This window comes from Homo sapiens, chromosome 9 (assembly GCF_000001405.40).
Source record: "Homo sapiens chromosome 9, GRCh38.p14 Primary Assembly".
In the NCBI taxonomy this organism is placed as follows: Eukaryota; Metazoa; Chordata; class Mammalia; order Primates; family Hominidae; genus Homo; species Homo sapiens.
The window spans coordinates 18,646,684-18,660,891 of NC_000009.12; the positions used below are offsets into that span (position 1 = coordinate 18,646,684).

At 39.8% G+C, this 14,208-nt stretch overlaps 1 protein-coding gene, 1 long non-coding RNA gene and 1 pseudogene across 17 annotated transcripts in view; 2 read left to right on the forward strand and 1 right to left on the reverse strand.

The window, feature by feature from the left end:
* ADAMTSL1 (ADAMTS like 1) overlaps positions 1-14,208 on the forward strand; it is a 1,004,318-nt gene that overhangs the window by 740,051 nt on the left and 250,059 nt on the right. For all 16 annotated transcript variants that reach the window (XM_011518064.4, XM_017015312.3, XM_011518063.3 and 13 more), the window contains one exon: positions 10,956-11,067. In XM_011518064.4, the coding sequence (XP_011516366.1) occupies positions 10,956-11,067 (112 nt within the window). The remainder of the gene's footprint in view (positions 1-10,955; positions 11,068-14,208) is intronic.
* On the forward strand, positions 4,464-4,767 carry RN7SKP258 (RN7SK pseudogene 258; annotated as a pseudogene).
* The window catches only part of LOC102724102 (uncharacterized), a 37,432-nt gene continuing 33,495 nt past the window's right edge, over positions 10,272-14,208 (reverse strand). Inside the window, exon 3 of the long non-coding RNA XR_428448.4 lies at positions 10,272-11,056. This is a non-coding gene — a long non-coding RNA (uncharacterized LOC102724102). The remainder of the gene's footprint in view (positions 11,057-14,208) is intronic.

Below are 14,208 nucleotides of genomic sequence, written 5' to 3' on the forward strand. Positions count from 1 at the left end.
GATTACATTTATTGATTTGCATATATTGAACCAGCCTTGCATCCCAAGGATGAAGCCCACTTGATCATGGTGGATAACTTTTTGATGTGCTGCTGGATTCGGTTTGCCAGTATTTTATTGAGGATTTTTGCATCAATGTTCATCAAGGATATTGGTCTAAAATTCTCTTTTTTTGTTGTGTCTCTGCCCGGCTTTGGTATCAGGATGATGCAGGCCTCATCAAATGAGTTAGGGAGGATTCCCTCTTTTTCTATTGATTGGAATAGTTTCAGAAGGAATGGTACCAGTTCCTCCTTGTACCTCTGGTAAAATTTGGCTGTGAATCCATCTGGTCCTGGACTCTTTTTGGTTGGTAAGCTATTGATTATTGCCACAATTTCAGATCCTGTTATTGGTCTACTCAGAGATTCAACTTCTTCCTGGTTTAGTCTTGGAGAGTGTATGTGTCGAGGAATTTACCATTTCTTCTAGATTTTCTAGTTTATTTGTGTAGAGGTGCTTGTAGTATCCTCTGATGGTAGTTTGTATTTCTGTGGGATCGGTGGTGATATCCCCTTTATCATTTTTTATTGCATCTATTTGATTCTTCTCTCTTTTTTTCTTTATTAGTCTTCCTAGTGGTCTATCAATTTTGTTGATCCTTTCAAAAAACCAGCTCCTGGATTCATTAATTTTTTGAAGGGTTTTTTTTCCCCCATTTCCTTCAGTTCTGCTCTGATTTTAGTTATTTCTTGCCTTCTGCTAGCTTTTGAATGTGTTTGCTCTTGCTTTTCTAGTTCTTTTAATTGTGATATTAGGGTGTCAATTTTGGATCTTTCCTACTTTCTCTTGTGGGCATTTAGTGCTATGAATTTCCCTCTACACACTGCTTTGAATGTGTCCCAGAGAGTCTGGTATGTTGTGTCTTTGTTCTCGTTGGTTTCAAAGAACATCTTTATTTCTGCCTTCATTTCGTTATGTACCCAGTAGTCATTCAGGAGCAGGTTGTTCAGTTTCCATGTAGTTGAGTGGTTTTGAGTGAGATTCTTAATCCTGAGTTCTAGTTTGATTGCACTGTGGTCTGAGAGACAGTTTGTTATAATTTCTGTTCTTTTACATTTGCTGTGGAGAGCTTTACTTCCAAGTATGTGGTCAATTTTGGAATAGGTGTGGTGTGGTGCTGAAAAAAATGTACATTCTGTTGATTTGGGGTGGAGAGTTCTGTAGATGTCTATTAGGTCCGCTTGGTGCAGAGCTGAGTTCAATTCCTGGGTATCCTTTTTGACTTTCTGTCTTGTTGATCCGTCTAATGTTGACAGTGGGGTGTTAAAGTCTCCCATTATTATTGTGTGGGAGTCTAAGTCTCTTTGTAGGTCACTCAGGACTTGCTTTATGAATCTGGGTGCTCCTGTATTGGGTGCATATATATTTAGGATAGTTAGCTCTTCTTGTTGAATTGATCCCTTTACCATTATGTAATGGCCTTCTTTGTCTCTTTTGATCTTTGTTGGTTTAAAGTCTGTTTTGTCAGAGACTAGGATTGCCAACCCTGCCTTTTTTTGTTTTCCATTTGCTTGGTAGATCTTCCTCCATCCTTTTATTTTGAGCCTATGCGTGTCTCTGCATGTGAGATGGGTTTCCTGAATACAGCACACTGATGGGTCTTGACTCTTTATCCAATTTGCCAGTCTGTGTCTTTTAATTGGCGCATTTAGTCCATTTACATTTAAAGTTAATATTGTTATGTATGACTTTGATCCTGTCATTATGATGTTAGCTGGTAATTTTCCTCATTAGTTGATGCAGTTTCTTCCTAGTCTTGATGGTCTTTACATTTTGGCATGATTTTGCAGCGGCTGGTACCGGTTGTTCCTTTCCATGTTTAGCACTTCCTTCAGGAGCTCTTTTAGGGCAGGCCTGGTGGTGACAAAATCTCTCAGCATTTGCTTGTCTATAAAGTATTTTATTTCTCCTTCACTGATGAAGCTTAGTTTGGCTGGATATGAAATTCTGGGTTGAAAATTCTTTTCTTTAAGAATGTTGAATATTGGTCCCCACTGTCTTCTGGCTTGTAGAGTTTCTGCCGAGAGATCCGCTGTTAGTCTGATGGGCTTCCCTTTGTGGGTAACCCGACCTTTCTCTCTGGCTGCCCTTAACATTTTTTCCTTCATTTCAACTTTGGTGAATCTGACAATTATGTGTCTTGGAGTTGCTCTTCTCGAGGAGTACCTTTGTGGTGTTCTCTGTATTTCCTGAATCTGAATGTTGGCCTGCCTTGCTAGATTGGGGAAGTTCTCCTGGATAATATCCTGCAGAGTGTTTTCCAACTTGGTTCCATTCTCCCCATCACTTTCAGGTACACCAATCAGACGCAGATTTGGTCTTTTCACATAGTCCCATATTTCTTGGAGGCTTTGTTCGTTTCTTTTTATTCTTTTTTCTCTAAACTTCCTTTCTCGCTTCATTTCATTCATTTCATCTTCCCTGACTGATAACCTTTCTTCCAGTTGATTGCATCAGCTCCTGAGGCTTCTGCATTCTCCACGTAGTTCTCGCGCCTTGGCTTTCAGCTCCATCAGCTCCTTTAAGCACTTCTCTGTATTGGTTATTCTAGTTATACATTTGTCTAAATTTTTTTCAAAGTTTTCAACTTCTTTGCCTTTGGTTTGAATTTCCTCCTGTAGCTCGGAGTGGTTTGATCGTCTGAAGCCTTCTTCTCTCAACTCGTCAAAGTCATTCTCTGTCCAGCTTTGTTCCGTTGCTGGTGAGGAGCTGCATTCCTTTGGATGAGGAGAGGTGCTCTGATTTTTAGAGTTTCCAGTTTTTCTGCTCTGTTTTCTCCCCATCTTTGTGGTTTTATCTACTTTTGGTCTTTGATGATGGTGATGTACAGATGGGTTTTTGGTGTGGATGTCCTTTCTGTTTGTTAGTTTTCCTTCTAACAGACAGGACCCTCAGCTGCAGGTCTGTTGGAGTTTGCTAGATTTCCACTCCAGACCCTGTTTGCCTGGGTATCAGCAGCGGTGTCTACAGAACTGCAGATTTTCATGAACCTCAAATGCTGCTGTCTGATCGTTCCTCTGGAAGTTTTGTCTCAGAGGAGTACCCCGCCGTGTGAGGTGTCAGTCTGCCCCTACTGGGGGGTGCCTCCCAGTTAGGCTTCTTGGGGGTCAGGGGTCAGGGACCTACTTGAGGAGGCAGTCTGCCCGTTCTCAGATCTCCAGCTGCGTGCTGGGAGAACCACTGCTCTCTTCAAAGCTGTCAGACAGGGACATTTAAGTCTGCAGACGTTACTGCTGTCTTTTTGTTTGTCTGTGCCCTGCCATCAGAGGTGGAGCCTACAGAGGCAGGCAGGCCTCCTTGAGCTGTGGTGGGCTCCACCCAGTTCGAGCTTCCAGGCTGCTTTGTTTACCTAAGCAAGCCTGGGCAATGGCGGGTGCCCATCCCCAAGCCTCGCTGCCGCCTTGCAGTTTGATCTCTGACTGCTTTGCTAGCAATCAGTGAGACTCCGTGGGCGTGGGACCCTCTGAGCCATGTGCGGGATATAATCTCCTGGTGTGCCGTTTCCTAAGCCCATCGGAAAAGTGCAGTGTTTGGGTGGGAGTGACCCGATTTTCCAGGTGCCGTCTGTCACCCCTTTCCTTGGCCAGGAAAGGGAACTCCCTGACCCCTTGCACTTCCTGAGTGAGGCAATGCCTCGCCCTGCTTCGGCTCGTGCACAGCGCGCTGCACCCACTGACCTGCACCCACTGTCTGGCACTCCCTAGTGAGATGAACCCAGTACCTCAGATGGAAATGCAGAAATCACCCGTCTTCTGCGTAGCTCACGGTGGGAGTTGTAGACAGGAGCTGTTCCTATTCGGCCATCTTGGCTCCTCCCTCCTCCATGGAATTTTATTGCCAAAATATCATTTTTGTTTCTTTAAAAGGAGAAGACTTTTTAGTGCAAAAGGAAGATTTTGTGACAGTGAGCAATTGTTATATATTGCCCTTAGTTCTAAAATAATGTTTTGGAATATCCTTCTCTTGCCACCTTTAAAACTAGACTGAATTCTCATCTTGCTTCCTAGAGCAGCGTTTCTTCTAAAAATTTTAAACTTGTTCCGTTGGCTCTACATACATTTTTGTCAATGCCAGTTTAGTGTGGTAGAATAGATAATCTGCTGCTTACTGGGTGTGTGACCTTAAGAATATTGCTTTGCCTCATCAAACCTGTTTACTCTTTTATGGAATGGTAATAAAATACTCCCTACTCTTGAAGGAGCCTTTTTGAGGGATTAAATGAGATAATGTATATAAAAGTGGATAGATCCAAATTACTTACTTTCCATCTTTTTGAAACACTTAAACTTTCAGTCAAACCAATCACTATACTCTATCTAAACAACAGCAGGAAGCTGCTTTGCTGAAGATGGTGAGAGGCTGCCGCATTTACCAGTGGTATACCCAGGAACAATGTGGCAGATGTGGCCATTCAGATAAATGGCTATGAGAGCAGACTGGGGGTGACATCTGTCAGTACATTAATTATTAGAGATGATCTGGCCATCATCTGGATAACTGGCTGACTTAGTATCCCCTCCCTCCCTTACCATGCCATGTGCATCTTTTCTGAAGCTGCAGACCCAAGGAAAGAGAATGACTTTCCCAGGTAGAAGAGTCCTCCTTAGTCATAGGTCCATTCTTCATTAGAACCTCCAACTCAGCTCTACCTGTTAAAGCAGCTAAGATATTTTGGTACATATTCTGGTTTTGCTCACTTGAAAGATCTATGCAGAAAGCCGGATTAGACAGAGAGGAAGGTGATCGATGAATATCTAAGCTACCAAAGTAGCAGAAACACACAGCAGAAGAGAAAATAATAGCAAACTCAGAGCTAAGAGCACTAACTCATAATTCATGCACTGATAACAAGAGAACACTTATTTCCTGCAGAGGACAATTTTTAAAAGGTATTGCATATCTATAGTTGGAAAATTTGGTTAGGAAGAGTGGCATCATTCCAATTGTTACCAAAATTGCATCTTGGAGAATTCTAAGGGAACAGAAACTTTGCGATTTCTGCTTGCATCAGTTAGAGTATTAGGCAAAGATGATGCCTTCATATTTTGTTCTAGATAGCCTTGAACATAACCTTGCACACAATTTAGGATACAAAACTTGCTTTTATTATAAGAGGTAACAATACAAGGAGTCTGGAGAGAAATCCCATGTCCAAAATAATGGGAATTTATTAAGTTTATAAAATTATATATATATATATTTCCTTCATTTAGCAGATGATTGATACATGAGGCAGATTGACCATCCTATATAGTATCTTCCCTCTCCTAGCTTATAATGTCATTTGGAAGATAAAAGACTAGATAGACAGTTTTGAAATAGTGATACATATCATTGAATACTAAAGAAAGAAAGACACATAGTGAAAGCTATAGATATGCACTACAAGCTAATATGCTTAAGAAAGCCTTTGTGGTGGGTGGATCACTTGAAGTCAGGAGTTCAAGACCAGCCTGGCCAAGATGGTGAAACCCCATCTCTACTAAAACTACAAAAATTGGCTGGGCGTGGTGGCAGGCATCTGTGATCCCAGCTACTCGGGAGGCTGAGGCAGGAAAATCGCTTGAATCCAGGAGGCGGAGGTTACAAAGATTGCACCATTGTACTCCAGCTTGGGTGACAAGAACAAAACTCCATCTCAAAAAAAAAAAAAAAAAAGGAAAAAAAAAGAAAGCCTTTGTGATACTGGGCAGCCTGTAAATCTTGGGTAGGATTGAAATACAATTAGTCCTCTACTTACAATAACCAACAACAAATTTTTTACTTTATTTTGGTGAAACAGCAATATGCATTCAGTAGAAAATTTATTTCAAGTACCCATACAACCATTCTTTTTTTCACTTTTAGCACAGTACTTAATAAATTATATGAAATATTCAGCACTTTATTATAAAACATGCTTTGTGTTAGATGATTTTGCCCAATTGTAGCCCAGCACATTTAAGGTAGGTGTGGGGAAGCTGGGATGTTTGGTAAGTGAGGTGTGTTAAATGCATTTTCAACTTACAATATTTTCAACTTAAGATGGGTTTATCAGGATATAACCCCATTGTAAGTTGAGGAGCATCTGTAACCAATTCCTTTATCCGCTGGAGGCTGAGGTTTGGCCAATGTGTAATCCCAGATTGGTTTCACCCTGACACCCAGCCTGTTTCTAGACAGTCTCCCCATTTCAGTCAACCCATGCTTATAAAAGGGAAAACCATTGTCCTAAGCCATGTGTTCTTGAGAGGAAAAGTTTAAATCAACTGTAGGAAAGAGAAGAAGTGAATAGTAAGTACTGGTTCATTTTCCTACCCAACTTTTAGAGGTAGTGACTCTGCCAATATGCCCCTTTTGCTGATAGATGCCAAGCGTTTAGAACTGAGCTAATCAGAATATACTGCATTTCTTGTTAGATTTCACACATTATTTTGCCCATCACACAGCTAGGTTTAGGATGCAGAGACAGAGAACTGGTTCCTCATCTTTCTTTCACTCTTGAGAGTTGCAGATCCCTGCCCAATCCTGCCTCGCTCCCCACCACCACAATATTAAGTTCAGCTCTGGTCATTGGTTTCCTGTCCTCCTCCTCCATCTGACCACTGGGACAATCCTTCAGGAAGGCTACAGTCTGCTTTGCCACTCAGTATCTCCTTCCTGACAAATCTTTGCCACCTTCTTCGTTCTTTAGACAACATTATACCTGTTGTTTCCAGAGAAGCATCTCTGATCTACTGCCCTACTCAAGGGTTGTGGGCAGCATTAATCATAACCCTGAGCTAGGTAGGTTGGGCACAGTGGCTTATGCCTGGAATGCTGGCACTTTTGGGAGCTGAGGCAGGAGAACTGCTTGAGCTCAGGAGTTTGAGACTAGCCTGGGCAACTTAGTGAGACCCCATTTCTATGAAAAAGAAAAAAAAAAAAAAAAACTCTGAGCTAGGGGCCTATGGGCTGAACTGCACTATTTTCCAATATGGAGGTCTGGAGTTCTAGAAAAACTAGAAAACTCTATAAGAAGTATAGAGGTAAAGTTGGGTACTAACATTTTTTAAAATCATTTTTAATCTGCTAATGCCTAATCTTAGCATTTCCAACTGTTAAAATTATCAGGTATTTCAAACAGTGAGACAACTGAATCTGTTTCATTCCCATAGTAAGTAGCATTTTGGCAAGCCCTCTTCACTATACTGTCCGACCTAAAAAGACAGCCTTCCAAGGAGGGTAGAAAGTGCTCTTGGGGTTGGGTGTGGTGGCTCACGCCTGTAATCCCAACACTTTGGGAGGCCGAGGCGGGTGGATCACCTGAGATCAGGAGTTTGAGACCTGCCTTGCCAACATGGCAAAACCTCGTCTCTACTAAAAATACAAAAAATTAGCTGGGCATGGTGGTGGACACCTATAATACCAGCTACTCAGGAGGTTGAGGCAGGAAAATTGCTTGAACCCAGGAGACAGAGGTTGCAGTGAGCTGAGATCACGCCACTTCGCTCCACCCTGGGTGACAGAGTGAGACTCCATCTCAAAACAAAGTGCTCTTGGATAAACATTGTTTTGTAATAATATTGCTTCCATTTATGAATTTTATCATTTGATGATAAAATCAAGTGATCAGTAACATCTTCAAGGAAACTGGCAGATGTATATAAAAAGATAATGACTCATCTAATAATTTATCACAAACAATAGTTAGAAATTTCAAAAGTACCTGAAAGGTATATAATTCAATTGTGTGTTCATTCATGCATTCGTTTATTCAGCCATTGTTTGGATACCTACTATGTGCCAGACATTGTAGATGATGCTGAAAAATGATGAGCAGGATAAATGTACCTGCCTCCATGGAGTTTTCAGAATGTGAAGGAGAAAGATAAGATCACAATTATTTCAAAATTAGGTATTTATAGATATATAACTGCTATAAGGAAGATTTTATTATTGTTGCATATCTTTTCAAGCCCAAACAAAAGCATTTTAAAATAGTCTTAACAGCAGTTCCTGAGGATACAGTATCTCTGTCAACTACCAGAACAGCCAAAAATTGAGTCTAGTAGACTGACACATTTAATCAACAGATTTACCAGTTTTCCATGTTATTCTCTCCCTAGCAGGCATACTGATGTATGTTCACTGTTTCCAAGCTTTCCAAAGTCATGACATCCCTGTCGCTCTGAGAGCAGTGTGACCAAGTCACATAACACTGTGGATCCCAGCTCAGAGATACACAGTAGTGGTTCACCTGTGGCTTCCTTTTGCCTCCCTGTCCTCATGAGAGCAGCGACTGAACAGCTAAGCCAGGCTGGGGGGACCCCTGACTGCCAGCCCCCTTGCTGGCCCATCTGAGGCACAGCTTCTACATCAGTGAGAGAAAGAAACTTAGGGAAAATCCCAAAGCTCACATATTGCCTTTTGCCAGTGAAAAAGGAAAAGATGCTTTAACAGTGCTTTCTCTGGAAAAGCCTTTGTGTGCTTAATGATGTCTTCATGTGCTTATACTATCTCCTTGATTCCTTGAATTTTACATGGAATTAAAGCTCAACCATAACCCCCCATACACATTTCTATGGCCCTCCAGCTCTGTCATGACAGTGCAGTCAATTGCTATGGAAAATTTTTGTCTTGTCTTTTCAGGTTAGTGTGAGAAATCATTATGTTGAATTAGAAACACTGAAACATTGTGATTATAGAAAGAAGAGCTTGGTTCAAATACTCTTTTTTATTAACATAAGGAGGTCAAAATTACATATACCAGATGTGTTTAGCTCCCTAAACCAAATGTGTCAAACTGAAGCTTTCTAGAACAGAGTTTCTCCAAGTATTATGATGTTATATCCTCCTCACATTGGCTGTAAGAAGCTAAGATTTTTTTCCCTTACTTCCCAGGACTCAGGTTAACATTCCAAAAAGAACATCTGCAAAAACAAACAAAAAAAGTAAAAAACAAAAACAAACAAACAAAAAAACCTCATCTCTTTGAATCTAAACAAATGCTCTGGTCTTTTATTTTTTCATGAATCTTGTGTTTAAATGAAAGTTTTTTTCTTATAACTTTCCAGTGTGATAACCACACACCCCAAGAGAGCTAGAGGCTTTTGTGAGCTTAAAAAAAAAAAAAAAAAAAAAAAAAAAAAAAGAACTTTCCAAGGAATGTGATTAATACTACATCCCTAAGCAAGCAATTAGGTACCCTTGTATCTGACACATAAAAATGAGAAATAGAAATCTATAGGCAGTGCTCTTTTTTTGTGAAAGACACTGCATTGCTTCAGCTGTTTTTCTTTTAAAGTAGGGAATGGTATCACTGTTTATTCTAATTAGAAAATACGTAAATGCTCTACAGGTCAAAATCCCAGGGTATGAGACATTCTGTAGGGTTTCTCTCTTCCTTCTTTCCACCCCTCTCAGACTTTCTGAGAAACATTTCCATATTCCCATCTAAACTCCAAAAACTGATGTAGAGTTTAGCATCCATCACTTTTTCTTGGCCCTGTTTCTTCAATATTCTTATTTTCCCCCTGCATCCGAGATGTTTAATCCACTTGTTAAATTAAGTAGCACAGAAATAGGGCTATTTTTAAAATAATCTGAAGGCCAAATCCATCCATTTATCCTACATTATGGGCAATTAAGAAAATGGTAAGACTTGGCCAGGCACGGTGGCTCACGCCTGTTATCCCAGCACTTTGGGAGGCCGAGGCGGGCAGATCACGAGGTCAGGAGATCGACCATCCTGGCTAACATTCTGAAACCCCGTCTCTACTAAAAATACAAAAAATTAGCCGGGCATGGTGGCAGGCGTCTGTAGTCCCAGCTACTCGGGAGGCTGAGGCAGAAGAATGGTGTGAACCCGGGAGGCGGAGCTGGCAGTGAGCCGGGATGGTGCCACTACACTCCAGCCTGAGCAACAGAGCAAGACTCCATCGCAAAAAAAAAAAAAAAAAGAAAATGTTAAGACTGAAAAACACTTAACAAATACTTAGGGCAAGTGGTTCAGTTGGACTCTGATACTTCTCTAATTGTTGTAATGTAGAGTAAGAAGTAATCCTCTCAATTGTCCTTGGAACCTCCTTATAAAAAGTAGTCCAAACCTTGCCCAACAGTCTAAATGTTGTATCATTCTGTCTTCATGAAATTGTTGACATAAGGTACTTTTTCCTTCTCTTCAGTTTATGTTTTCTCAACCTTGTACTCTTAAGAACCATTAAGGACTTGTCTCACATACCCCCTTTAAAAAAAAAAAGAAATTGCAATTTCCATTAAGTACCAGTTTTATTTAAAAGCAAATAAATTGTTTTTAAGTAAGTAATCGTTTTTATGACATAAATTTGTGTTTTCAGTTTGATTCTTAAACCATCAACATTTGAATTACCTAGTTCGCTGGGCATGGGCCCAGAAGTTTGCCTTTTAGCAAGCATCTAGTTGGTAACTTCGCACACTAAATGGACAAGAAGCCCAATATGTGTCTCTGAATGGGAAGTGTTATTTAATTCTTCAACTCGTCTTTTTTCTTAACCAAAACCAGTATCTTTTATTTTCTGCAGTATATAATTTTCTTAGAACAAATTGTCTATTTCTGAATCTACATTTTAAAATCCACATAATTTTATCTATTATACCAAAGAGGTTGGAAATAAAGGACGGAAAGGGAATACAGGCTTGGAATAAGATGATAGTGAAATCACAAATTGAGATATTGTTCTCCCTTGCTCTGTGGCAACAGAACTCAGAAGATAATGATAGTGAAAGCTTATGCAAGGACCATTCACTGGTAAAATGGTAGGATACATGATACTGCCATTGCCACTTCTCCCGCAGTGCAGTCCCTCACACAGCCTAAAACCATCAGCACTACCATATACTCTTGTTCGAAGCTGCAAGGGACCAGAAAGCACCGCACTGTCACATTACTTCTACTTTCCTGTTGACTCCTGCAGATTCGTAACTCGGGCTCCGCTGACAGTACAGTCCAGTTCATCTTCTATCAACCCATCATCCACCGATGGAGGGAGACGGATTTCTTTCCTTGCTCAGCAACCTGTGGAGGAGGTAATGGTGTTCACTTAGTCTAAAAACTGTTGGCTTCTGTGAGGAAATACTTGGGTATTATAAGAGTAGAGTTACTTCAGCATGGAAGAAATTTTGTGCTGTCTTGGACCAGATCCTTTCTTCTGAACAGAGTGGAATCTCGAGGCCCTCCTGTAAGGCAGATACCTCCGCCAAGATGCCAAAGACATTTTCTGTCTGTAAAGTCCCATTAGAGGAAACAGTCTTTTTTTTTTTTTTTTTTTGAGACAGAGTCTCGCACTGTCGCCCAGGCTGGAGTGCAGTGGCGCCATCTCGGCTCGCTGCAAGCTCCGCCTCCCGAGTTCACGCCATTCTCCTGCCTCAGCCTCCTGAGTAGCTGGGACTGCAGGCGCCCGCCACCACGCCCGGCTAATTTTTTGTATTTTTAGTACGGACGGGGTTTCCCCGTGTTAGCCAGGATAGTCTCGATCTCCTGACCTCGTGATCCGCCCACCTCGGCCTCCCAAAGTGCTGGGATTACAGGCGTGAGCCACCGTGCCCGACCGAGGAAACAGTCTTTACTTCTCTCCTTGATTTTGTAGAAGGCCAGAGCTAGAAATATTCTAATTTGGCAGCAGTTTGGTCCTGAAGCAGGCAGGTCCATTCACTTACATATAAACTACTCATGTGGTTGAAGTAAAGTCATCTATTTAGCAATCAATTAAAGAGTGTTTATCAGGCTTACTTAATTAGAGAAAATAGTTTGCTACCAGGAAAAAAAATCTCTGCATTTTAGACTTAGGCTCAGTTATTTTTCAACTCCACCCCATCATCCATGCATTAAAAGAAATGCCATTCGTTTTATTCATTAAAATGCATCTCTCCTGAAAAGTCACAAAATAAACTCCTGTCTCTGCTCCATCATATTTGTAACACGAACAGCATTTTGTGTTACTAGAAAAGGCTTTTGTGTTACTACAAAAGGTTATTTTTCCTCATTTTCTGCTCATCATAATTATAGTGTTTACATAATAATTGCATTGAATTTCCCAATAATTTATTTAGACATTTCCCTACAGCAAATCATTTAGTTCCTTTAACTTTTATGCTTTTATAATACAATGAATAACTTAATACCTAAGTATTTTTCTCTTTTCAAATTATTTTCTTGGTATAAATACTCAGGAGTGAGATTGTTAGATCAAGGAATTTCAGAATTTTTGTGGCTATTGGCACACATTACCAAATTCTTTCCAGAAGGATAACAATCAGTGTGTGAATATTTTAGATTCATTGCCAACTGAGTCAGTGTTTGTGGATTATTGTTTTTCTAACGTAATGGATATAAAATTATATGTCTATTCTTTTGAAAATTAGCACATCAAATAAATTCTAGCTCTAGTTTCATAGAAGCCAGTTAATTGGCTGACTTTAAATAGCTAATCCACAGAAGTATCACTATATTAATTTGACAAGATATAAAAGGATAGTACCTGAAAATGGAGACAAATGATTACCCATAAATTTTTGGAAAACATTGTATGATGTAATTCATCTTTACCTATGTTGTTTCTATCTACACAATGTAAACAAACTACTGAAAAATGTGGTTCTATGGAGCAATGTTGGATTTTAGCTTAAAAGAAGTCAGTAGAAGTGCCATGAAGTACTTTTACTCAGTTGATAAAAAACTATCAATTCAACACTTTAAGCATTTCAATAGAATGAGTGTTTCTAGTTGTTCCATCTGTCATGGATAGAAAATCATTTAGCTGGCCAGGTGCAGTGGCTCACGCCTGTAATCCCAGCACTTTGGGAAGCCAAGGCAGAAGGATGGCTTGAGGCCAGGAGTTCGAGACCAGTCTGGCCAACATGGTGAAATCCCCTGTCTCTACTAAAAATACAAAAATTAGCTGGGTGTGGTGGCGCGAGCCTGTAATCCCAGCTACTTGGGAGGCTGAGGCATGAGAATTGCTTGAAACCAGGAGGCAGAGGTTGCAGTGAGCCAAGATCATGCCACTGTACTCCAGCCTGGGTGACAGAGCAAGACCCTGTCTCAAAAAAAGAAGAAAGAAAGAAGGAAAATCGCTTTGTTTAAAAATGAACTGTCAATTACTTTGATGTTCCATGGGAATACATTATTTTGATATTTTTACTAATGACTGGCATAGGAAATAGTTTCAAGGAAAGAATCTAAGGTTTGTTTTTTTTAAAAAAAAAAATGAAAACCATGCTTTGTGAGAAATAGCACTTCAGTTATATGCACACATAGAGCTGCTATTAGAGTGTGATGTCAGCAACCTTGATAATCGTTCATTACATAATAGGGACATTGATGTTAGATTTACATGTATCTTACTTCTTTGGGCCTCATTTTCCTCACATGGAAATGAAGAAGTAGAACTATCAGTGGTTTTCAGATGTTTCTGGGTATCAAATCTTGCTTCAAAGGAAACCTTAACTATGAAGCCAGGATAAAAGGAAGACTGTTCTGAGTGAAGATGTGAGGGATGTGGAGACCAGCTGTCCTTCCACTTTATTTTGAAATGTACTGAAGTTACCAGCTTGAAAATTACTGAAGAAATGATCTCTAAGTTCTCTTCTCTGTTTCTGGTTCCAGATTCAACTGGTTGGACATTTTGCTTAGTGTAAAATTTGCTACTCCAAATACCTTATAAAACTTTAGAAAACATGATTATCTGATGATTTTGGTCATTTCCTTCATTTTTGCTCTAACTCTTCATTTTATACACGCTATAATAGCTTCAAAGCAACAGGTTTAGGCTGACAAATTTTGATTTTGAAGAATAATCATCTCAGATTAATAATTTACTGCATTGTTCCTGTATTTTACTACATGATAAATTCTGTCCCTGTGTAGAAATTATTATCTGGAAAATTATAAAATAATTAGCCTGTTATAAAATTAGATGCTTTTAGAGTACAGTGTAATTGAAAAGTAAAAGTGCATTTACTTACTTAAAATGTCATTTTGCTACTTGATTTTTTTATAAAACAAATATTGGATAGAAAAAGTGTTCTTATCCATTGCTTTCGTTACTTTTCATGCTTTTCATCTTTATAGTCAAATTTTAAAAGGCCTTTTTTTTAGGGTCTTTAATGAACAATTAATTTCTGTGGGTGGTCTGAGAACACAGCCTTAAGCCAGGAAATCTGGCTCAT